The sequence below is a fragment of the Homo sapiens genome, chromosome 18, assembly GCF_000001405.40.
Source record: "Homo sapiens chromosome 18, GRCh38.p14 Primary Assembly".
Taxonomy (NCBI): Eukaryota; Metazoa; Chordata; class Mammalia; order Primates; family Hominidae; genus Homo; species Homo sapiens.
In genome coordinates, this window is record NC_000018.10 from 45,544,839 (window position 1) to 45,570,688 (window position 25,850).

The following is a 25,850-nucleotide window of genomic DNA, read 5'->3' on the forward strand; positions in this document are numbered from 1 at the left end:
CTGGAGTGCAGTGGCACAATCGCGGCTCACTGCAACCTCCGCCCCATGGGTTCAAGTGATTCTCCTGCCTCAGGCTCCCAAGTAACCGGGATTACAGGCATGCAACACCATGCCCGGCTAATTTTGTGTTTTTAGTATATAGATGGGATTTCTCCATGTTGGTCAGGCTGGTCTCGAACTCCCGACCTCAGGTGATCTGCCCGCCTCGGCCTCCCAAAGTGCTGGGATTATAGGCATGAGCCACCATGCCTGGCCAATAATGTCATTTTAATGGTTACGTGATAATTTGTTATATTATGTATCCCAAACTTTCAAGCTAAACACCATCTGCGGACATGCTTTGTTTGTGTAGCATAGCATTAGCCTGCCCAGTGGTTATAAATAATATTTTAGAATTAAAGTCAATATTTTAAGCTTTTATTTTAAAAATGGTAACAGCACATCCCCATCGGGCCACATAGGTGGAGCTGGATGGAAGCTGCTGGTGCTGTCTTTTTGCTGTAGTCCCTCCCATTCTCTGTGGCCTCCATAAAACTCAGGCTGAGGGTCCGTTGCTATTTATCATGCTCTTGGGCTGATTTTCTTTTGCTACAGTCAAGATGGAAGTGAAATAGTTCTTGTCCTCATATGTCTATCAAAATAGAAGAGAACATATGTCTGCAGCCCCCAAACTGTGTACCAAAGAACCCCAGGCTCCCACAGGAAAACCACAAGGACAGTTTAGGATTTTTATAATTATCAAGAAACACGCCATGATATTCAGTATTGTCAGACACCATGCAGACTAGCAGCTTGAGTGAGCTCAGCATTTTAACAGTAGATCATGCTACACTTGGTATCATCACATCTTTGGAAAGCTGGGTTTTCATTGGTCACTGTGTTAAAAAGCAAGTACCATGGGAAAATCATCATCAAACAGGAAACAAAGGTAGAGGTGTCCATTCTGACTCTAGTTTAATTGTGCGATGCTCAATAGGTACACATATCCCATTAGTAAATATATTTAAGAATGAGATTTATATATTTTTTCTTTCAAATTATGTGTAATATTTTTTAAACAGCTATTAAGTTGTTAGGACATAAGTATTCCTCGTTTATTTGCACTCATATACTTAATAAATCTAACTATGAAGCATTTATTTTTTCCTAGAAATGCTATAAAACTATTACTGAGAGATTTTGGGAACCTTTTGTATATTTCCAGTGGAACTAAAGACACTGCTGACTGCCCTCGTTCCTGCCTCACTGGTCTCAGCCCACATATCCACTGTGTCATTGCAGCTTATGATGCCTGTGTTAGATACATGTGTTATAACCAGTCTGTCCCTATCCCAGCAACATGCCTATTACTTTTGCTATTCAATAAACAAAGAGGAGCATCTTCAGAGCTAATATTCCCTACATTCAGGATTTTATATCCTTAGAACGAACTCCTAGAAGAATTGCTGAGAGAAGTTATTCAAACATTTAAGGCTTTCAAAAATTATTTCTGAATTGATTCAGCTTCATCTGAGACTCCTAAAGACAGAGCAATCTGCCTGACACACAGTGATGCTGAATTCCGTGTGGAACTGAGTTGAATCGATGCAAACGAAATTGAATCTCTAGAGACACTGAGCTATGCTTTTACCTCTCTTTGTCTGAAGCTGCCTCTGTTTCTAACACAGACCCTATAATCAGTGATCAGCATTACTGGAGCAGGAGAGCCCTAGCTATGGAAAGGAAGCCTGTGGGCAATTCTTTCACAAAAAGTGTATCTTAGCCCTGAAAGGTCAAAGAGCTTAATAGTCAAAGGATTGGTTTCGAAGCCAGACTGATTTCAAATCTATCACTCACTAGTTGTTAACCTTGGGCATTTTACTTAAACTTCTGTGCCTCAATTTCCTCATCTGTAAAATGGGTATACTAATAGGACCTACCTCATGAGGTTGTAATGCAGAAAAAAATATATATACACACATTGCACATTGCCAGGCAAATACTAAGTTCTCAATGGGAGCTATTCATTTTATTTGTTCTCTTGGATGCTTTTAGATGTCCCTAAAGCAAGGTCCACCTTGATTTTCATTCCGTCCTATGGGCTGGCTACTCTTGCCACTGTTGGAAGGCATAGGAAACACATAATCAAACCATGCCCAGCCTTCTCAACCCAGGGACTAATCTATGGTCCCCGGACCCTCTTGAGCCAACCTGAGCAGAGAGCACTTTTTAAACTCCTTTCTGATTAGGGCATGGGCTAATCAGACGGTCCAGAGCTCCTTCATGTCCCAGGTAGCAGTAGCTACCAGACCAACCAGTTCTTGTAGTTATGAAACCAAGAATTTTGCTATCTGAGCTAAACAAAAGGAAAAAAAAAGAAAAACTTTTATTGATTTTGGATTAAGAGGCATTATGATGTTTAGAAACCCATTACTTTGAACACCAGAGAACCTCATTCCCACCTTTAACAAGTCCTCTCAGGGAAAATTTTTTCAGGGTCATTTAAAGCCTGACATTGTGCCCCTGAAATGCCCTGTGTCCAAGCCCTTTCCCTCCAATGCCCTTCCAGTCTGTCTTACCCTGCAGCAGTTCCTCCTCTGACTCTTAGAATATCTTCAGCCAAGAGAGCCGCAGAACAGGGAGCAGGCCACTCTGGAATAAACTAAGCCAGAGCATAGGAGTGCCCACAGCCCCACTGATGCATGAGCTTCACTGCCTATGTTGGAACTGACGGAACTCTTAGCTTGGGACCTGGGAACTGTATCTGAGTCCCGGCCAGCCCCTTGTGGGCCTTCTGATGACCGCCTTGTGATCTTGGGCTCATTTAGTCTCCTTGACCCTTGGTCTGCTCACCTTTAAAATGGGAATGATAATGTCTAGGAGATGATGAAATGAGATGATCTTCATGAAGGTGGCTGGTAAAATACTTACATAACTGTAAGGAATTGTAGTTAAGAAATGAAGTTGAAGCCCAGTATTGATCTGGCCCAGGAAGACGTTTTTATAGAAAGAGACTTTGGAGAACAGAAGGGCTGCACAGCAGACAGATAATGAGAAAGTCTATGAGGGCCCAAAGAGCAAAAGGGTTGGCCTGGGGTGATCAGAGGAGGGTAAGACTGAAAGGTGGGCAGCGTCGGCTAGGAGAATGGGTTCAAATAGGACTTTGTAGCCCAGGACTTGGAGTCTTTCCCAAGAAATCAATTACTCAAAACATTCCAAGGGCCCAGCCTGGTGCCAGCTTGATTTCTGATGTCGGGAAACTCAGGAATCTGGTTATGGGAGGCAGGAGTCAAAACAAGAGAATGACCCATGATAGCCGTGAAGTGAATGTAGGGACTGTTGTCCAGTGGAAGTTCTTCAAAAGGAAACAGGAAAGCAGGCCTGCCCTGTGATGTCATCCTGGGCTTAGGCTAAGAATGGAGTTTGGAGTGAGGGCCTGAGGCTACCAGAAAGACACTTTGTGGCATCAGCTTTTCCATTAGCACAGGAAGAAGACTTCCTTCAGTGAGGAAGAAGACCCTGAGAGGATGGACCACAGGAAAAAAATGATTTTTGATTCGGGGAAAAGAGTAGTAGAGGAACTTGATTAAATAATCACAAATTTGGCAGGGCATGGTGTTTCACACCTATAATCCCAACACTTTGGGAGGCTGAAGCAGGTGGATTACTTGAGTGCACGAGTTTGAGACCAGGCTGGGCAACAAAGTGAGACCCTGTCTCTACAAAAAATAAAAAAATTAGCCATGCGTGGTGACATGCACCTGTGGTCCCAGCTACTCAGGGGGCTGATGTGGGATGATTGCTTGAACCCAGGTGTTTGAGGCTGCAGTGATCTATCATCATGCCACTGCACTCCAGCCTGGGCAATGGAATGAGATCCTGAAAACAAAAAATAAGAATCACATAGTTTACAGCTACCCGGGATCAGAGTTCATCCCTCCCCAACTCACTGCCCTTGCTGTATACAAGCTGAAGTTTACACAGGTGATGTCACTTAACCTGTAGCTGGAAGGCAGATCTCCAGCCTTTGGTGATCTTTTGACCCCTTGATGGTAATCTAGATGCAGCCAAGTGTAGGACTGTGGGGACAGGACTGGATGGCATGTTGGAGCATCTGCAGCAGGTATTGTAAAGATCCTGTGCACCTAGATGAAGGTAAAAGGGACCCCAGAGAGTAGACCAAGAGAGGCATTTAGGATTAGTCTCACAATATTGCCGAAGGCTAGCGCCTCCTCCATCCTCCTTCCTATGCTGCCAGTTCCCCTTTCTTCACAGTCAGATATGGATATGCGATGCTGCTCGAATAGAAGTAAAATGGACAAAGGACTGGCAATGTGACCACAAGGGGCCTCACCATTCCCTAGAGAGGAGTAGTTCATGAAGTAGGAATTTGGCTTTTGGTCCATCAATGCTCTGCCTTCGGTGGATTCCTGGAGGCAGTAAACTGGGGTGCCCCAAAAGAAGGACTACGATGTGCTGGGCTCACAATTTATGCAAACAACTGATATTCAGATGTGCTACCAGCATGGCAGGGCCAGAGCCAGCCAAGCTGTAGAAAGCATTTGGGAGGAAGGATGGAGCAGCTGCCTTCTCAAATCCTGAGCCCCACCTCAGTGCAGCCCCAGCTCTGCCTTCCCCAGACAGGAGACAGCTTGTTCAAGCGCACTTGTGAACGTGAAAAGGGAGAGGGAGGGAAGCAGGGGGGAAGAAATCCGTTCTACCTCACCGCTTTCCACCTCTGCCCCAGTGGAGTGCAGGTAATTTATTATACCTAAAGAGCAAATGCCGCCTTATGTGGAGGCAAAAATGCTAGTCGGATGCTACGGCAAGTTGCCTTGGGAGACCAAGGGACCTAGTGAAGTTTTGCAGCCTGGCAAGGGAGTCTGCAAGAGGAAGGAGTGACTGGCTCCTTCCATCAGAGTAATAAGCTCTTGTGTTTGTGCTGAGTTTCTTGTGTTTTGAGGTTTTCTTACATGTATGGTTATACTATGAGCCTCATAACCATCCAGTACAGTAGATGGCTCTAGTGTTATTTTCCCTATTTTTTAGGTGACAAGACTGAGGCCTAAAGGAGTTTTAAAAATTGACCAAAGTCATGAAGGTAATAGAAGGATATATCTCCCAATTCCTAGTTTCCAAATGTTTTTCCATGTCTTATTTTTTTTTTTTTTTAAAGAGCATGTAACTGGACTAAGGGCAATGAGGAACTTAAGAGGTGTCAACTACATCAAGCTGCATAGAGAGATGGAAATGAACAATATAAGATAAATCAAAGGAAGTCCTTCTTCATGTAGAAGAGGAATAACTCACAGACCTCATTACCAAAGAAAAGTTTTCATTAATAAATGTACCCATTACAATTTGAACAATGACTGAGGAAGCTTGGGGTGGGAGTCTCTTGCCAAGCAAGTTGGGGCTCCCTTCCTCACCCTCCTGCTTTCCAGGCTGACCTCTCAGCATCTCCCATGTCTCTTTTGCCCTAGCCACACAGAACCATGGCTGCTCCCTGAACCCCCCAGTTCTTCCCACTTCCATGCCCTTGTGCATCCTCTTCCTGAACCCTCAAGTTCAAATATCAAAATTTGGAAATCCCATATTGAGTTAATTGCTCCCTCATCTGAAATCACTTTGAAGTGCTCACAGTCTGTCTCCTCCACTAGACTGTGAGCTCTCTGAAGGTAGGGAGTGTGGCGTATTCATCCCTGAACCCCAGAACCTGCCTGTGTGCCTGACACTTATCAGGATCCTAACAGATAAATGAATGGCTCAATCACCATTACCACCTTCATTTTATCAGAGTCATTTATTGAGCCCCTCATGGCTCTCGACAGAGAGTGTGCACTATACTGAATTCTGGCAATTTCATTGACATTATAAGAATCCAAGTGTGGTGAAAATCTGAGCTGTTTAAGGCTGGATCTGAGGAGTCTTGGAGGAAAATAAGGGATTAGAGGACATTCCAGGACACTATAGAAGGTTTCCTTCTGGGACAGGTCCTGTGATGACTGCAAGATCAACATAGTCCCAGTTGTCACAGAGCTGAGAGATACAGTGCCAACACAGGTGAGGCATATAGAAGAAAATTAAGGACTAAGAGCTACGGAACTGACTTATTCCTGCTGTAGTGACTTCAGAGAAGAGAGGGCTAGAATAATCAGGAAGGCTTCATGGAGGAGGTGACATGAGCTGGGCTGTGAATTTCATTTAGATACAGAAAGATAGATGTCCCTAGAGTAAGGAAAAACATGGGCCTAGAACCAATAATTAATCAATATGGCTTAGAACAAGCAATGAGTAGCCCTAAGTTCATTCTGTACTCTAAGACAAGTTCTGCTACAGGCAGGAAAGACATGAAGAAATACCTTCCTTTGCACCAAGACACTATTTTTTTTAATATGGGGAATTTTAAAAAAAAGAACTCCAGATGGATTTTAAACACAGTGGGGAACTGGGCGGTGTGATGGCAGATGGCTATTTCAGCTGCACATGGGTAAAAATAATTCCAACTCCCCAATACCCAGGACTGCTCTGAACTTGTGAAAACCTTTTAAGGAAAAGCTGCAGTGTGATGCTCAAAGCGCAGAGCTGCAGCAGACTGGGGGCCAAGGGCTTGGAACTCACCAATAAGAAAACAGCTACCGCTGTTGGGACAACAGAACTCAACCCATTTGGGGAGGCTCCCTTCTGACCAGGTTCTGTCTGGGCCGGCCCTCGATGTCAGTCCAGGCTCTCTGGCATGTCTTCCTCTATGTTGGGAGAAAGGGGAAGTGAGATGTGTCAACATGAGGGCTATCAAGTAGGGAGGCTGTAAGATGAAGGCATGGGGAGCAGGAAATGTACAGAAGGGAAGAGTAGTGAGTGCATGCTGTGGGAGGGAAGGTTGGCCCAGAGGAGGGCAGGGCAGTGACTGTGAAAGGTAGCACTTCTGCATGTCTAGTGGCTACAAATGTTGATACACTGGCTTCACAGTGGAAAGCTGGTCTCATCCACGTTTACTGTCGTCTGCACCACATCCCAGAGTTGGAAGGGGAGACTTATGTGGAAATTCCCTTTGTCCATCTGAATGCCACCTTCTGGAACACTGATCCTCAGCTGATATTGCCATAAGTACTATTGCATAGTATTCATAAGAGTTTAAAGTTAATTTGCATCTCACATTCCTTTTCATAATAGAATCACTTAGATTTTGAGATTTTCTTAACAAACCCTTCTATTTTGTAGCTTTAGAAATAAGACCCAGAGAAGTGAAATAACTAACTTTTTAGTAGCAGATCCGTGACCCATACAGGGCTCTTGTCCATATATGTCCTTAATTATTAGCCCACCCTTCCTTGGCGTTGAAAGATACAAGGGACACAGGAGAATGAAATGGGCCCAAGAAAACTCTCCATGCAGCTTGCATTAGGGCAGAAAGGACAACAAGGGACATGCTCCATGTGATAGATGAGGTGCCATGAGTTTGAGTGACTGAGCCTCAGTCCTCTGACTCCCATGGCCCGCATAGCAGCAAGGAGAAGGGGAATGCAGCTGGGCCCTGCCAGCCCCAGGCTCCTTCTCTCCCCCACCCCCTGCATTTTCTTTGTGTGAGTTTCCCTTCTCCTTTCTTGCTCTCCCACCCCCCAACCCCCGTGTCCTCAAGCTGGGACACTCATTCATTTCACAAATACCGACTTAGCCCACACTACAATGCAGCCATAGACACCTTGGACAAAGTACCTGTTCTCACAGAGCTGATGTTCTGGTGGGAAAATACAAACAAAAACAAATAACCATGAAGTTATGTGGTGCTGGGTGTGTGTGGAAAAACAAAATGGATGAGGGAGGAAGAGTGTCATGGCAGGCAGTGGTTAGACAAAGAGGAGCAGAGACCTGGAAAGGGGGAAGGAGACCAGCTATCTGAAGACATAGAACAGGTGTGTGATGGGCAGAGGGTAGCAGCCAGTGCAAAAGACGTGAGATGGGCACTTGCCCAGCATGTTTGAGGAACAGCAGGGATCTGCAGAGCTGGGGGAAAGAAAGCAAAGGGGAGGACAACAGATCAGCCCAGAGCATGAGGCCATGGCAAAGATTTGGCTTTAGCTCAGGGTGAGATAGCAGCCATGGGAGGGTTCAATTTAGGAGAACCTAATATTTTAAAAGGATCATCCTGGCTGCAGTGTTGGCTAGGGATAGAAGAAAGGAGAATGTGCTCAGGCTAAGGTAGCAATGAGGTGAGAGATGATGGTGACCTGGGCCATCAGATCTACCCAGGTGACAGGGTAGATCAGGGGCTCCCAAATTTCCCAGCTCAAAAAACCCTGTTTGTCATTTAATAACCTTACAAACACTTCCCAGCCTAATAACAGTTACCATTTTGGCATTTGTGGATTGGGCAAACACTTGATGTCCACATTTCTAAACAAATCCACAATGTTCATAGCCCAACAGGGCTTCCATACATTTGAAAAAGAATTGTACATACAAATAGTTGATTTTCAGGCCCCCTATGTCACTGTGGCCCCAAAGTAGGCCACTGAAGCTTTGCTTCCCTCACTTTTCCCATTCCCTTGACCAGCCTAAGCCCTGATTCCTCCAACCTCTCTGCTAGAAGGGGCTTAATCAGCTTAAGTGGGCAATAGTGTTGATGGGTGAGGATGACAACTGAGCAGGGATTCCTAACTTAGCATTGATCCATAGTTGAGATTTGAAGAGTCAAGAACAGCTGGAGATTGTAAGCAAAATGCCTGTGAGTGGGGTGAGGGTGTGCTGTATGAGGTCAACTTTCATTAGATTCTCGAGGGCCCTTTACTAAGAAAAAAAGGGGAGAAGGGCAAGAACCACAAGTTTAATGAGTTATTCCTCCCAAATATTATGTATGTTTTAGCAAGGACCTTCAACGCTTAACCCCAAATAGTGAGTGCCAGATGTGGGAAGGACAGACATTTCAAAACCATAAGGCTTCAGTTGGCCCTAAGCAGAAAGGGACCCACACAATCTATAGCTAGAACATAACATTTCTGACTCCAGAAGACAGCTTTCTTTCCCTCCTAAAGTCAGTCTTGGACCCTGCCTATAACACGCTCAATAAGAATTTGTGGAATGAAAAAAACGCCATACAAGGGTTCCCATCTGAGAAACAACAGAAAGGCAATGGTGTATGCTGTGCTGCAAGATCATTCCAAATGAACTCATGTATTCGGAGCAAAACTAAATAAATAAAAAAGCCAAAGGCTGTATGCTACTCTTGAATAATCATGCCTGATTTGAAGGTCAAGAGCATTACAATGCCCCACTTCACAGAGGTGCATGAAGGCCGAAGCTTGCGGTATGGTAGAAGAATTTGCAGGGTATAATTATGCACCCCTTCAACATCCCCACTGGCTTCCACGTGATATGAGACAATGTGTCACAGTCCCATACAGTCAAAGCAGTAATTTACAAGAGTCAGCAATTCCATGGGGCAGGTAGGCCATATTTCAAAACTGGAAAGGGAGTTGGGGGGAAGAAGGGGGAAAGCAACCGATCAATTTACAAAGATCCTGTTTCTCTGCCACTCTGTTGACCTTTCAGGCAAGACCTAATGCCAATTAGCTCAGTTATAAAGTCCATAATTCTTCTGGGGAAGGCCATGGGTAGCACATGATCATTTTACAACGTTTGCCCTAATTTGCAGCCCCCAAACATGGACTCCTGGGGCTGCAAGGTGGGGGTGGAGGGAATTTGTTGGCAAGCAACGGGAGCAGCTGGAAGGGATCACAGAGCACAATTACTGTCTGCGCATGGCCACATCTGGAAAACAGCTCCGTGCTGGCTTTAAAACAGCATTAATAAAGAATGGAACCTTGTGCTGGGAAGGATGGGGGTGTGGGGGGGAATAAGGAGGGCCGCCCTTCTGCCCAACATGGTGGGGATAAAACGACAACAAAGGAAACAGCAGGCAGGGTATAAGACCAGTTCCAAGGAGAAGAGGGTGTTGACAAGAGAGGAGCAGCAGATATGCTGCTACTTTAGGGAAAGATCTCTAAACCCCCTCATTTCTTGCCATCTTCAAACCTGGGCATCCATGCAGGGCTGATCCTTTTTATATTAGTTATGCAGACATTTGTCTGTAATGTGGGATTTTAGTAAGACTATTCCCCATCAGTACCAAAATTCTACCACTCAGTCCTTTAGTCAGAGAGTTCCTTCCCTTGAGATGGATTTGAAACTGCAAATGTACCTGTTGCCTTTAGGATACCAGGGATGTAGTAGTTGCTCAATAAATATTTGTTGACTAGAACCAAATTGAATGAGCTGAATAAGTTATTTTGTGGCTGTGACCAAGTTAATTCCTATCTCTGGTTTCTCAGCTATAAGGGTTCCAGGAGACCAGTGATTCTCAGTTGTGAGGGCAGAGGTACAAGGTAGCATACCCTCATAAGGAGTATATCACAATTCCAAGGGGAGGGGAGAAGGGAGCATTCATGGTTTTAATAAGAACATTCAATGGTATAATATAGTTTTATACACATGGTCCCTGACTTAACAATGGTTTGACTTATGATTTTTCAACTTTCTGATGGTATAAAAGTGATACACACTCAGTACACTCTTTGACTTAAGATGGGATACATCTAGATAAACCCATGGTACATTGAAAATATCATAAGTCAAAAATATAAGTTGGGGAGCAGCTGTATTTGAAAACCAAAGAGTCTACCTGTGACTTCCTTAATACAATCTACAGAAAAAAAGCTCAACAGACTCTTCATGGCTGATGAGGATTCATACATAAACCAATCTTAGAATTCAAAGTGGACACTTCCCATCCCACCAGAAATCAGGGCATCTCTGGATCTCCAAGGCAAAGATAGGAATTTTTTTTATTATGAATCAAAAAATGCTTAGACACTCTGAGTGGATGTATTTGAGGCCTCCAGCTTGAGTTTTCTCCATTTGGCTGCTTAATGTTCCCTCATGGAGACAGATCAGCTACTTGGGTCGCCAAGGGCTGGGTAACATTAAAGAAACAGCAAGGAAAAATTACAAAGAAAACAGGGATTCTGGGGGTGTAAACAGACTTCACTCACCTTGCCCTTGTGCCAGACTGCCTGCCCAATTCCACATCGTTGGCATTGCATTGGAGTGTGCAGGGTCCAGCTCATTGTCTTAGTTCATCTGGGCTGCTATAACAAATTACCATAGACTGGGTGGCTTATAAACAACAGACATTTATTTCTCACAATTCTGAAAGCTGGAAGTCCAAAATCGGGGTGCCAGCATGGTCAGGTTCTAGTGAGGGCCCTCTTCTGGGTTGCAGACTGCCATTTTCTCCTCGTTACATGCTCATGTGGTGAAAGGGGCAAAGACACTTCCAAAGTCCCTCTCATAAGGACAGTCATTGCATTCATGAGTGCTTTCCTTCGTTACTGAATCACCTCCTAGTACCATCACCTTGAAAGTTGGGATTTCAACATATAAATTTTGGGGAAACACAACATGCAGACCACAGAAACCACCTTATCATATATTTTAGTGTTTTACCCTGCAGGTCTATGGTGTGGCCTCCTGAAAACCCCAGATGCCACACCACAGACCTGAAGACATGGAAGGAATCTTATCAAACCCTACCCATAAGGCAAAAATTCTCTTATCAGCATCCCTGACAAGTCTTCCTTTATGCCTTGTGTAGATACCTCCAGTAGCGCATAGAAACTAAGACCTTCAAGGAGGTCTGGGTTCTCGGCCTACTTCAGACACTTACCAGCTAATTGAGCATGAGCAATTTATTTAATCTCTCTATGTCTTGACTTCCCTTTCTGTAAAATGAAGATAATAGTAGTTAAATCATGGGATTCGTGTGAAGATTAAATGAGACAATATATATTGTGATTTCCCTGCTGCTTAAAATTCTGTATTTATATTTACACAATACAATTTATATTTATCTACCTATGACATTGTATGCAATCTGTATATAGCTAAATCCACAGATGTGTTGACTGTGCCTGCCAAAAATGATGTAGGCAGTCGATTCCAATATGGAGCTCCCATAGGGGTACATGGTTTTGACTTTCCCACTCCTGAGACACACCACTCTTACACTGTTATTGCCAAAAACTTTATGCATATAAGAAATCTTTAGAATACACCCACCAAAAGAAGGCATTCCCACATGTCCCAAATAAACCCAAAGTAACAGATCTGCAAATCTGAGTCCAACCAGGTTTATGCTACAGTGAAATATAGCATCACTCCCCGCATAGGGTAAGTGTTCAAGAAAGAGTAGCCAATGCTAGCACAGCCAGCACCTTTGCTTGTTGTACAGTTCTCAGGTATTTGGAAGCCAATATCCTTTGCATTCTTAGTTTTGCTGCCATGGAAGCACTGGCCACAGTGTTGACCCTCGACCAGTCACAGTTCAATAGACATTTGACTGCTGCAGCTTTGTAACCTGCTTCATTCTCACCCCATCATCTCATGCCATGCTACCTGTTTCCCATTCTCTAACTGTTTCTGCAATAGGTTCCCTCTAGTCCCTGCCATGCTGAGCTTGATGTCCTCAGTCGCCAATGCGTCTCTTTGAAAGCAGTGCCTAACATGCTCAAGCCAGGCTGCCAGGCTCCATTAATGTGTGTAAGTTGCATTTATTTTCCTGGCATCCTGTCACACTGTAGGCTCAGGTTCTGTGGCTATGTGCTCTTGAACTTCCTAAGGAAAAGGTGTTTGGAAATAGCCTCGAGCAGCTGGGTCTGACTCACATTCTCCTCTCACCTCCCAAAAATGTCCCCAAATGCTGCCTCTTTCAGGGTCCCTATTCTCAGCTTCTCTGGAGTTGGATGACGGCCATGAGAAGTTTTTCCCTTCCTAAGACAATGTCAGAGGCCCCATATATTGGGCCTGGAGTTTGTGAGTTAGGCATCCCCTCCTAGTGTGGTCTTCTTCCCTTATTTTGCCTGTTCTGCCTGGCAAGTGCTTTCTCATTGTCCTTGCAAGGAGCCTAGCCATAGTTTCTTGCCCATTTAATTAATCCTTCCTAGAGACCATTCACACCCTAAAGCAGGTTAGGCACTTAGGAGAGACCCTTCCTAGACTGGCATCAGTATAGACCCATGAGGGTGTCCTCCCTTTAACTCCTGATGAATTCACCCCATACCTGAGGATTGGGGCATTTCCATAAGTGACACACCCAGGATGTCCACTCAAAGACACTCAGAAACCACTTCAGGTATAAATACCTGGCATTATTGAGGGCCTGCCAAGCTGTCTGCCAGGTAGCCTCTCAGATCATTCCAATTCCTGGTCCTTCATCTACCTTTCTTCTCCACCTCCTATAGTCCCTCCTTTCCAGCTACTCTCTCAAGTCACTTTCTCCTAACACCCTTGGCTCTTGATTTGGTACCTTTCTCTCTCCTTTGTCCTTCCAAATCCCATCTGTCCTCTAAAGCTCAGTTCAAATGCTGTCTCCTTATTGTAGACCCCTAAGGACACCCACTTGAAGCCAGTTCAGTCTTTCTGGAAAGCATCACTTATGTCACTAGTACGACCCTGCCTTATACAGTATTAATCTGTGAGTCTGGCTCATCACACTCACCCCAGCTAAATAGTAAGCACTGGAGCAGTAGACACTGTACAGAGAAGATGGAAATGAGAGAGGAATGGCACTGGTAAGGAGGGCCATGTGGGAGCTCATACTGGACTGTGAGTTTGTGTCCCAGGAGTGGAAGGGAAGTGGTCAGAAACTGAGTGTAGAGCAGAGAAGAAACCACAAAAGCAGCATCACCACAGGTGTTGTGTTTTCTGTAGGAAATAATCATGAGTTTTAGTCTCACTGGGGTGGATTAGAAACTATGGAAGTGTGAGCCAAAGTCAGGTTGGGTCACCTGTTAGTGCTTGCACCTTGGAGAGCATGAGTTTGAATTCGCCACAAGTGTCCATTTGACCATAGATACCAAGGGACAAAGGATTATTTGGTCACCAGGGTTCTATCTTTCCAAGAGATAGAGATAGAATCCTTTGAGTTTCTTTTTTTTTGAGACGGAGTCTCACTCTGTCGCCAGGCTGGAGTGCAGTGACACGATCTCGGCTCACTGCAATCTCCGCCTCCTGGGTTCAATCGATTCCTCTGCCTCAGCCTCCAGAGTAGCTGGGACTACAGGTGTGCACCACCACACCTGGCTAATTTTTTGTATTTTAGTAGAGACGGGGTTTCACCATGTTGGCCAGGTTGGTCTCAATCTCCTGGCCTCGTGGTCCGCCCGCCTCGGCCTCCTAAAGTGCTGTGATTACAAGCATGAGCCACTGCACCTGGCCCCTTTGAGTTTCTTATGTGTCCAGCATTGTGCTAGGTGGATTAGAGGGGGTTATAGGCTAAACTCAATCAGTTCTCTCAGGGGGCTCATAGTATAAAAGAAAAGATGAGATACGTAAGCAGCCACAATGTTAGTCAGAGAATGCTAAAAAGTCAAACAAAGGAAAGAGGCACTGAGCATTTGGGGAGGTTAGAAATGGAAGAGTGGTGAAGATCAAGAATTGTCATTGAAGTTGAACCCCTTAATCCTGTGGGAAGAAGGTGAGATTTGAGTTGGGCTCTGATGAGATGGTAGAGTTGGCTAGGAAAAAAGGAACAAGATGGCACGTTAAAATGGGTTAGTGTGTTCTGCTCACTCAGCAGAAAGGAGGCTTGTACAAGACAGCCAAAGTAGGAGAGATCACCAGAAATACCATCTGGCCACTTTGTGGGAGGTTCCAGTGTCCAAATAGGATGTTCAGACTTTGTCTCCCAGAAAAAATGGGAAATTAGGTGTCTCAGGTGGACAAAGCCCTGTGGTATAAAATCCATATGGTCCTCCCACTCTCCTCCAAAATATTTACAACTTGGATTTGTACCAAAGCCTTCTCTAATCACCTTCATTGTTGTCACCTTATTTTCTAAACATGTGGTTATGGTGCTCTGGTGCCATTGGCTAAACTCAGTAGAGACTAGATTACTAACATCCAAGAGACTGCTTTGTTTTCCCTGTCCTCCTTGGGGTGCACCCTACTGTGGCCTCCAGCTGTAGTGCCAGAACCCACAGGATCCACCATTAGCTGAAAGTACCAGGTTTCAGCCCAAAGGCTGTTCCCTAGGGAAGAGAATGTTTGACCCAAGGTGTCTGGCCTTCAGGAGATAAGGGATCACCACATCAAGGTCATGGAGCAGAGGCTTCCTGGGTGTGGCCCAAGTCCCTATTAAATGTCCTCTGCCTACACGTTGCCCTGGACCTCTGGACCCACCTATGAACATATGCCCCCTCCCAGGGAGCTCACTGCTTCATCGTCATCTGCCTATTCATTCTGACTGGCCTGCATTTGTCTGGCATCTACTGCATTAGCCAGGGCAATAGCATATATTTGGATAGCACCCAGTGGTTGTTAAACACTTGTACCTATTTTATTCATTAAAACCTTAGCAGACCAGCCAAGGTGTATTATCTCTTTTCTAAAAATAAGGAACCTGAGTCTTAGAGAGGCTAAATAGCTTTGTCTAAGGCCAAAAGGTCAGTAACTGACCATTGCTCCACCACAGATGAAGACCCCATCTCTACCCCCAGAATCTCCTCTCCATCCTGGACTTTCCCACTGCCACCTCCTTTTTATCCATATACCTCAGGGATTTAGCCCCTTTTTGGCCCTCCTTCTCAGCCATGGTCTCCAACCCTCTCAACAGAGCCTTCTACTCCTCTAGGATAGGCTGAGGAATAGGAAGTTGATTCCAGATATCTCCCCTACCTGCCCAGCTGCCTCTGAGACAAACAATCCCCTTGCATTCTAAGGGAACTTATATGAAGCCCCTATGGAGGAATGAAAAGTGATAACAAAAATAAGAAACACAGGAAGCCATAAAGTTTAAAGCAATGCAAGAAACCCTGGCTAGAGTTAGCCTTGATCTTCTCTGAAATGAAAATAAAATTCAGCCCCTTCCCCAACAGCTCATTGTTGGAGCCCCCATACCCTCACCTCTTTCATGTCCTGGGGTTGACTTCCTGCTTGTCCCCACCTCTCTCCAGGAAGGGTCCCTTTTACCCCAACTCTAGAAATTCTAGCCTCAGAAGAGGCCAATGTGCTATCCTCATTGGGCTCCTAGAGGAAGACCAAATTAAACACTGCTATTCTCTTCTCTTCTGCTTAACACGGAAAAAGTCAACTTAGGTCATTCCCTGACAGAGAGATACAAAGATAAGGCATTGTCCCTGTCACCAAGATATAAGCAACAGCACAGGATACTGTGTGGTGAAAGACAAAATAAGCAGTAGAGATAAGATTTCTGAGGACTGGAGGGAGGATATGAGGAGTGAGGGATGAGCCACGGGAGGCCACTGTCACCAGCCACAGTGGCCTGGACCAGGCAGAAGAGTCTTATGGTTGAGTATGTGCCATAACAGCTGTAGGGAGGACATTCTGGGTAGGAGGGTGAATGAAGGCAACGTGCCTGTCGGGGAGCCAGCTGAAAATCCATCCTGTGGGCAGAAGAAGGCCTTGGGACTTTGCTCAGTGGTCATGCTTCCCTCTTCCTGTTCCCTATAGTCCCACTTAGTCTGGGGAAGCTCTCTGCAAGAGAGTGACAGCAAAACAAGCAGTTTGTCTGCTGCTAGGGCTGCGGAACCCAGGCCAGGTGTTCCAGAGGCCACGTTCCTGGCCTGGCTGCAGCTCACTGCAAATGAGGCTGGGAAAGGGTGTCCAGTCTTATGCCAGGAGGAGGGGCAGCCCGTTGGGTGGCTATCATGCCTGACTCTACTTCACAAACACCTATGTACTCACCAAGCAGAAATAGTGAATGTTAACCTTCTCTTATTTGCTTCATATTTTTTAATAAAAATGAAAAATATTCAGAAGGAATTAAAAACTCTTAGGTCCCACTCCCACTCCCCTCCCTCCCTCTCCAGCAACAACCCTATTATGAATTGTACATATTTCTTTTTCATCCGTGTGTTCTCAAATGGATATATTCATATGGATCTCTAAAACACTATATAGTATTTGTCGATATGGCACTGAATTTACATAATTGTATCTTAACATTATTCTGCAACTTGTCTTTTTCACTCAACATTTCTATTTGGGGATCTATATAGATTGATGATTTGACTCCATTTTCTTTATTTAACTGCTCTATGGCAAGTCATCATATTCCCTAATTTCTTTATCCATGCCTTCATGGATGGACATTTAGCTCAGGTATATATTTTTTTTAAGCAAACAATGCTGCATTGAAATTCCTGTGCCTATTTCCTGAGGCACCCAGTTCTCTCTCCTGTTGTAGAGAAAATGTTGAGACTCCCCGTTCCAGTTCAAATGCAATTAGTACACCTCCATCGGGTGCACAACACCAAACTAAATACACTGAATCATTCTAAGAGATGCATTCAGAAGAGTTCCTCCCTTTAAGGAGCTTACAGTCTAGCAGAACAGATAAGCATGTTGTGAATCTACAAGTTAAAAGCTCTAGGACAGTGCCCAGTCTATACGTAATTAAAAGATAATGTCAGTTGACCTGATAGAGAAGAGCTGAAGGTAGACCAAGTAAGAGTGAAATCTACATGGATATGGGTCTTATCAGGAAAGCTTTCCTAAAGGAACTTGATCTTGATAGGGGTCTTGAAGAAAATACAAGCTTTAGGTGCTCAGTAGTAAGTGTTCAATGAATAGGAGAGAGGGCATTCCTGGCAGGGGGACAGCAGGAGCAAGTGTCCTGGGGCAGGACTAAGCATGGAATGTTAGATGTCTTGTCTGGCTGGAGTGTCTGGCTGGATTGAACTTGGAGCCATTCTTCTGTTTTCAAAGTTGATCTTAGCCCCACAACAAGTCCATGTGGCTTGTTGGCCCGGGCAGCCGGCCTGGGTGGTATTTTTCCATTACTCTGAGCAGAGAAGAAGTTCAGTCACTTGTTGATAGCAATATGATCATTCAAGGAGAAAACAATTAGGGATGCTGAGCTCTGGCCCCCGGAGAGGAGGGAGGGAAGGAAAAAATTCTCCCTGGGGGGAAGGGGCTGGGTGGGAAACAACCAAGAGGGTAATTGGTAAATATTATTGTTTCATTCCATGTTTGCCTGCTCTGCTCTGGTCCCTCTGCAAGCGGTGCATTTAAATCACACTGTCTGACTTTGGCAGGTTTAATTGAGTCGCCACTGAAAAAGAAATTATCCCTGTGCTATTAATTTTTATAGTTCCTCGGGGCTTTTAAAAAGTGTTTGGATTTTCTAGGTCTTTGAAAATGAAAACATTAAATTTTATTAAAAGGAAACGCAGGGGGGCTGGCAGGGCCCAGCCAGGCCCTGACAAGACGGTTGGTGGGAAGGTTTGGGCCCTCTGAGGCAGTGTGACAAAAGTTTTGCCCCTTGTAGAATGAGAGGCAGGTGGTCTCTAAAGATGTGTGAGGTCTGCCAGACCTGCATCCCCCACTGGCTCAGGATGGGTGCCTTGTCAGTGCCACCCCAGACCCCGCCCTCATGGCCAAAGTCTGTGCTGGCAGCCACAGGCCAAAGAGTGCTGTGACCGGGAGCTCTCTGTAGGAACTGGGGGGAACATAAGGGCAGACCAGTGTTGTGGGGCCAGAAGCTTTCACAATTTAGAAGGCCCTCTTGAAGAAAAAGAAAAGAATTCAAAATCCCAAATGCAAAATTACATTCGAAAGTATAATTTTATTGAGAAAGAATGAAGTCACAACAAATTACACATTTTAAAAAGCTGACAAATTCTACAGGCACCACAAAATCTAAAATAACTGTCTGACACATCCGTAATACTTTTCTTCCTACATTTTTTTTGGCTACCAACTCTCTGATCATCTCTTTAAATGACTATAATTTTTCAATATCATTTTTATAGAGAGAATACAAAGATAATTCAGTCTATCTTTTACCAAACTGCAAACTCTTTGATCATCTCTTTAAATGACTATAATTTTTCAATATGACTTTATAGAGGGAATACAAAGATAATTCCGTCTATCTTCTAACAAGCTGATCAAATTTTGTACTTTATTATTCACGGTTTGGAAAGGTTTCTTTCAGTCTCACAATTTGTCACTGGTAATGCCACGTGAATTTTCAGGATTGTTATCAACTTTGGGAAAACCTCTGTCAAGTATCTTTCACATATGAGCTATGAGATTTCAGGGCATTTTTTCTTTCACAGCAACAAATCTAAAATGCTCTTTGAATTTATGAAACTTACTAACCAGATTGTCATCGATGCCCTCATTGTAGTGGCGTATAATGAGTTTTATGTTATCTCCATCAATGTCAGTATTTCCTGTCAAATCAGCAAGACATTTAAACATGGGGATTCTGATAAATTCTAAGTCAGTAATTCCCATCAAAAAAGAAACAAGATGAATGGTGCATATATAATTTTATTACTTTGCATGATCGAGTGTATTCTTGACAAGAGAGAACTTTTATTTTGATGAGGCAGTGATGAGAATGCTCTTGTGATTTTACATACCTAATGATTGGAGGAATTTCCCGCCAAGTAGCTTCTGGCTCTGGGCATTTAAAAACTTGTTTCTCTTTCACCATCTATATGCTTCCAGTGCTGGGCTCTGCAGGACACAGATACTCAGGTCTCTGTACAACTGCATCCCTTTCATGGCACAAGACAGAGGATGTCTGCACAGTGGGTAACAGGAGTGTTCCTGGCAGCTTTTTCCACATGGTGACAGCTACTGATGAGTGAGTTACACAGAGAGGTGACTAAAACTACACAAACACCTCGCACTGAACCTAAACCAAACACAGCCCCAGCTCAACTGCCCCTTAGCTAGTTTTCAAAGTGGCAGCATCAATGCCCCCCAAAATGAGGAAGGGGATGCCAGGGGGAAATATGCCAGGGAGAAACAATGGTTTTAAGAGATTATAGTTGAAATATCTCACTTTTGCCAGCTACATAAAAACACGTGACTGTGTACGTGCATTGTGCCAATGAAGGGCTCTGGAGTTTAAGCATCATTATCATGACAGGAAATTCACTTGTGCACGCTATGGAGGTTCTCGGGGAGAGATCTTTGCACCTAAGTCTGTCAAGGAATTAACTGCATTTGGAGAGACAAACACAGCACAGCAGTATAACAATTCAAACATGACAAGGTAACTAAAGTGAGACTTTGTATGGGGAGGCTTTGAAGTTGAGACAAGCAAGTGATGAGGGTAGGATGGGAAGGCCCAGGAAGTCAGGAGGTGGAACTTGAACTGGATACAATTCAGATAGCTGTGGAAGAGCACATGTGGGTGATGTGTGTGTGTTCGTGCATGCGTTTATAGACATGAGTGCCTGCAACTATGGTGTATTGTGAGCGTGCATGCATGTGCTTCTTTTTTTTTTTTTTGAGACAGAGTCTTGCTCTGTCGCCCAGGCTGAAGGGCAGTGGCATGATCTTGGCTCACTGCAAGCTCCGCCTCCCGGGTTCACACCATTCCCTTCCTTCAGCCTCCCGAGTAGCTGAGAGTACAGGCGCCCGCCACCAAGCCCTGCTAATTTTTTCTATTTTTAGTAGAGATGGGGTTTCACTGCGTTAGCCAGGATGGTCTTGATCTCCCGACCTCATGATCCGCCCGCCTCGTGGGATCCCAAAATGCTGGGATTACAGGCATGAGCCACCACACCCAGCCGCATGCATGTGCTTCTACGTGAGCATGCATGTGCATATGTTGTGTGCACTTGTGCACGTGTAAGCATGTGTAGGGAGGGAAGGAAGGGATTGTCATGAAGTCTGCAGGAGAAATGGGCTGGCGTCGTGGATATCAGTCTGACACATGAGGACGATGAGGCTCAGGAAAGCGAGGCAACTTGCTCAAGACTGCACATCTGGTCGGTGGCAGAACTCAAGCTGTCCCCAGGCATCCCGACAGCATTTGCAGGATGTTCCCAGCACACGCATCGGCTCCTACCCACATACAGCCAGGGCTGAATCAGTGTGCGTGCCCTGACCCGCTTCTCCACAGGCAGAGTGCCCTTCTAGGCACAGGAAGGAATGTCAGTTCCATCCTGTGATGGCTGTCCTCCTCCCTCTGCCTCAGGGGTCACTTCACTCCAATAAATCATCCCAGGCAGCCCTGACCCAGGAGAGAAGAAAGTTGCCTTGCCCTTTTACGCTGACACCTCAGCTCCAGCTCTATCCCCAGATAAAGTCACAAGGCACTAGAGTGTCAGGTGGGGACATGTGTGTTTTGTTTCAATGGCAGAGTAGTGGGCAGTTTGTGCACAGCTTCCTTAAGGAAACAAAGCATTTCTGTTGTGGAAGTAAAAACTTTGGTTGGTTTATGAGTTGTGACAGGTAAGGAAATAAAAATGTGGAATAACCCAAATGTCAATTCAGATAGAAAATTAAGAAATAGTCAGATTTCCCTCCCTGGGCTAGGCGTTCAGCACTCCCAACTCTATAATGTCAGTGCTCTGATCGTGCCCATTTTACAGACAAGGAAACTGAGGCTTGGAGAAGTTTAGGAGTTTGCCCAAGTCACACAGCTAGAAATCATGGGGCCAGGATTTAGATTCAGATAGTCTGATTTCAGGGCCTGTGTTCTCATTAGGATATACTGCCTTCAATGGAAGAAAGTAGGGAGAATTCTCCCATAAGCACAAAACTTTATTCAGATTTCCTAAAACACAGGACCATTTAAAAACTCTCTTAATAAAAAGCTGATGGCAGGCCTCTCCCTGTCGTCACCCTCGACATGCATGTACATGCGCTCACGCTCGCACACACACACACACACACACACACACACACAGTGTCCACATCACTGCTCACCCCAGCCTTCCCAACTCAGCCCAAATTCCTTCCTTGTGAGTGTCCCTCCACTGATAATTAAGGCTTCAGCCAGCCAGTTGCTGATTTCTGATTCCCATTTAATCTCCACAAGGACTTTCAATACTTACAGCTCTTGCTTCTCAATATTTCAGTGTATTAAAGGAAAACTCTTGGGGGCAGGAAGATGACATCTCCACGAACAGGTAACTGCAGGGCGGTACAGACAGAGAATACTTCCAGCTTTGCTCAGAAGGACAGATTTATCAGAAGTACTGGTGAGGGCTAGAAGTCAAGGTGAGAAGCTTTCAGAATGGGGGTGTGCACGTGTGCTTGTATGTGTTTAATGTATTTTCAAGTAACAACTAAAAGTTTCTGCCTTATGTGGTCAATGGGAATCTGGTGATTTATTTGAGCTGAGGACTTCAGGACATATAGACACAAACCACTATCACTGTGCCTCATTCTATAGCTGAGGACATGTGCACATAGTGTGTGTGTGTGTGTGTGTGTGTGTGTGTGTGTGTGTGTGTGTAACTCACAAGGAGAAAAAGGACCAGGGAGCAAGGCTGACACAGATTGAGGGGTACCCATTTGGAATTTTCTTTGTAACTCTGTTTACCATTGAAGAGACCCACTTGCTCCTGTAGGGAAGGCCAACGCCCACCCCCACCATCCCAGACTAAAGTCATAAATCTCAAGCCTGTGGGAAAAGGGCCCACCCTTCCTAAGCTGAGATAGACAGAGACGCTGGCCCAGACAGACAGAGTGTGGAAACTTCCACTGGCCTGCATTTGACCTCCCTACCTCCAAGTTTTGCATCTTAAAGGGACCCCGACTGATAGAGAGCAAGCTGGCTGGACAGCCCAGATCTGTCTGCTGATTTCAGGCTGTTATCCTTGAGCAAAGGGAAGCTTCTCTGTTTTATTCAATACCTAGGATATCTTAAAAACTGGGAAAGAGTCAGAGTGTCCTTTAAATTCAGAAGAGTGAGGTTATTTTAATCTATTTCTGAAAAAGCTAACCTGTGTCCAGGGGTTAGCCCGGTGAGTGTGACCATCCTGGGGAGTGTGAGGAAGGCAGAACTCCTGGTCTTTAGCTGTCCTGCGTCAAGCAAGCCGCCCACCTCTCTCGGCCTCTACCTTTCCACCTCTCTCGGCCTCTACCTTTCCTGATCACTTCATTGGACAGTTACTGGGTTCAAAGTCAAAATGGTCAGTATTCAAGAGGAGGGCCTATAAAATGATGTTAAAACCTTTTTAACAGGCAAGTGCAAGTGATTCATGAATAAGAGACCCACCCCAGGATCTTTCAGGAGAAGATGGTGAAGATGTGCAGAAGGGCAGCCACATCCCTCACAACCTGTTCTACAGTTCCTGGGTCAGGGGAGGTGTCACAGGCTTGACCCGGGCGGTTCTTTCCAGTGCTCTTATGCTCAGTTCACTGCAATCAAACCAACATGGGTGTTCAGCTGTCCTGATCCCCTCATTCAAACATTCATGAAAGTGCCCAGCTCCCAATCCTGAGAGGCGGTGGGGGCACCAGACCCCTCAAAATGGCAGCATCGAGGTCCCAGTCATCATGAGCAGCCTCCCTCCTGTGTCTTCCTGAGGGATCCTTCACTCCCACTGCCATCCCCAGCAGGCTTGTGCCTTGCCCCCGCCTCACCTCACCCACCTAATGAGCTTCATGGCCTATGGCCTGCAGGACCAGGCTAACTGATGAGCTCTATGGGCACAGCCAGTGTGTCCCTACCTCATGATTGGAGCCATGGCTGCCCCATATAGCATCTCCACCAGAGAAGCAGAGGGCTGCTCTCTCCTTGCCTTCAGGGGACGTGCTGTCTAGCTGGAGGAGTTCTGCTGGCTAAATGTGTTATGGTCCCTCCCCATTTGAGGCACATGGTAGGACTGTACTTCCTCCTCATTGTGATGGGCAGAGCCACGAGAGTGGTTCTGAAGAATGAGTTGTAAGCAAAAATGTCATGTCATTTCTGAGCCACAGAATTAATTGCTGAGGCAAGACTTCAGAAAGCATTCTTTTATCCTTGGCATGAGGTACCAGCAACATTCAAGAAGGCAGCTCCTTTGTCACCTAGCCTGCCTGATGAGCAGCCCTTTGTCAGCCCAAGTCCCTGAATGACAATACGAAGTAGAGGCCAGCACCTACCTATGTATTATAGTATAAGTAAGAGCTAACCCTTGGTTGTCTTAATCCACAGAGACTTGAGGGGTCGTTACTGCAGCATAACCTAACCTATCCTGACTGATACAGAAATGTGTGGCATATCAATCTGGAATAAAACAAGAGTAATACAGGGCTATGGATAGTTATGTTTTGGACACTATGGAATTGATGGTAAATTCTGGATCCAGTAAAAGAAGAGGAATGTATTGTAAGCTGTTATGGACTGAGAGCATTTCCAGGAGACTGAGTAGGATTTAAATTAGCTTGATGGAAGTAGGAGGAAGTGCCCACCTCTCCCATTTCTCCCTAAAGATTAGGTACCGATTCTAGCCTAAGTTGCACTTCCAACATTTCACTAGTTAGGAGGGCATGGGCCTTCAATTTCACCCCTCATGCCCCACTGTCCTTATCCCAACTGCTTCTCAACACAGAGCTTCAATCTTCTATTTATTTCTATCTTCACCCATCCTTACCTCCAGTCTGAAAAAATCTGTTGCCCTTCTCCCGTCTAAACCCAGTTCTCTCTTTCTACTGGTTTCTCACCAATAGCCTATAAATGCTCTCAACTATCTCCCTATTTGAAATAAAACTCATCTCTTAACCTTGAACTAACCCCTTTACTCTATTCTAAATGATTCATTAATATACCAGTGCTACACTTTCTTACTCCCTTAGAATCTACTATGAGCTTCCTCCTTACAAAATAAAATTCAAGATTTAGAGATCCAATGCCATAAAAAGCAACTCAAGGTATATTTAATTCAGACTTCATATCTCATCCCTGGCCAGCATTAGCCATCTCACAACAATATATCTGGGAAATCAATATTCTATGAAATAAGGATTTCAAGGAGAAAGTCCACCCTAGCTGACTACATGTGGGTAATTAGGTAAGCTGTAGTGACAGTGGACCTGATTTACTACCAAATGCTCATGCTATTATGGCAAAGTTAGCTGGCTCATTAAATAATCTGTCTACCAAGAGTGTGAGTCCACACCGATAACCACTCCAAATGACAGTGGGAGACACAGCCCTGGGAAGGGAGCCAGGAGTCCTTAGGCCTCTTTCCAGCCATCGACCAACCAGCTGTGTGACCTTGGGCTAGTCACATTCTTTCTTCAGGCTTCAGTTTGCAGCCTACCCCCCTTCATTCTTAATCAAGAGAGTTTGACTAAAAGCCCTGCAATGGCTTTTAAAACTGCAAAATCCCTTGACTCTCATCATTGTTTTCTGTGCTAAATTATAGAGTCATCAAAAATGAAGAAAAAATTGGAACTGTTTCAAATGGTTCCAGATAATCAGGAAAAAGTGTCTTTCATCCTATAGCAAGTGTGTGGCATTGAGGGGCACCAGCTGGAGAGGGAGCAATGTGGGCTCGTATGTGGTCAGCATCTCTTGACAGCAAAGAAGGATGAAGAACACAGCCCTCTATCCTCATTTTAGCTCCATCCCTAATTTTCCATGTGACTTTAAACCTGTCACTCAACCACCCTGGGCTACCCTTTGGCTCCAAAATTCTATGACATCTGATACGTTCTTTAAGACCCAGGCTCCAGACTCCCTACACCCTCACCTATCTCACCTTGAAATGAAGCTCCTCTTGGATTATATGCCTGGCATTTAGCCCAGATGGTAGATCTTAAAGCACCCTCCTCTAAGTTCAACCACACCTATATGTACCCAAATACCAGAATCTGAGAGTGAGAAGAGAATAAGAGCACTTTAGAGAAAGCATAGCTGCAGGCACTGAGTCCATTGCATTCTGGAGCATGGTACGTTGGAATTATAAAATTCCTAAAAATTGTAGCCACCCTTTACAATTTACATAGGATGTTGATCAAGCAATATACCTTCTATCCTTTTACTTGATCCTAACAAACCCCTTATCCTCTGTCCTCCCATCCAGGACCACATGCCTTTGTTAATACATGGCAGG

General features: G+C 44.9%; 1 protein-coding gene across 5 annotated transcripts in view, besides 1 other annotated feature; it reads left to right on the plus strand.

Moving 5' to 3' along the window:
* The window catches only part of SLC14A2 (solute carrier family 14 member 2), a 515,726-nt gene that overhangs the window by 376,876 nt on the left and 113,000 nt on the right, over window positions 1–25,850 (plus strand). The window lies entirely within an intron of this gene.
* Window positions 8,253–10,426: an enhancer, noted in NCBI's record as "VISTA enhancer hs1464". NCBI's record gives its function as "enhancer in: limb[4/6]" and the evidence as "EXISTENCE:transgenic organism evidence [ECO:0001131][PMID:17130149]".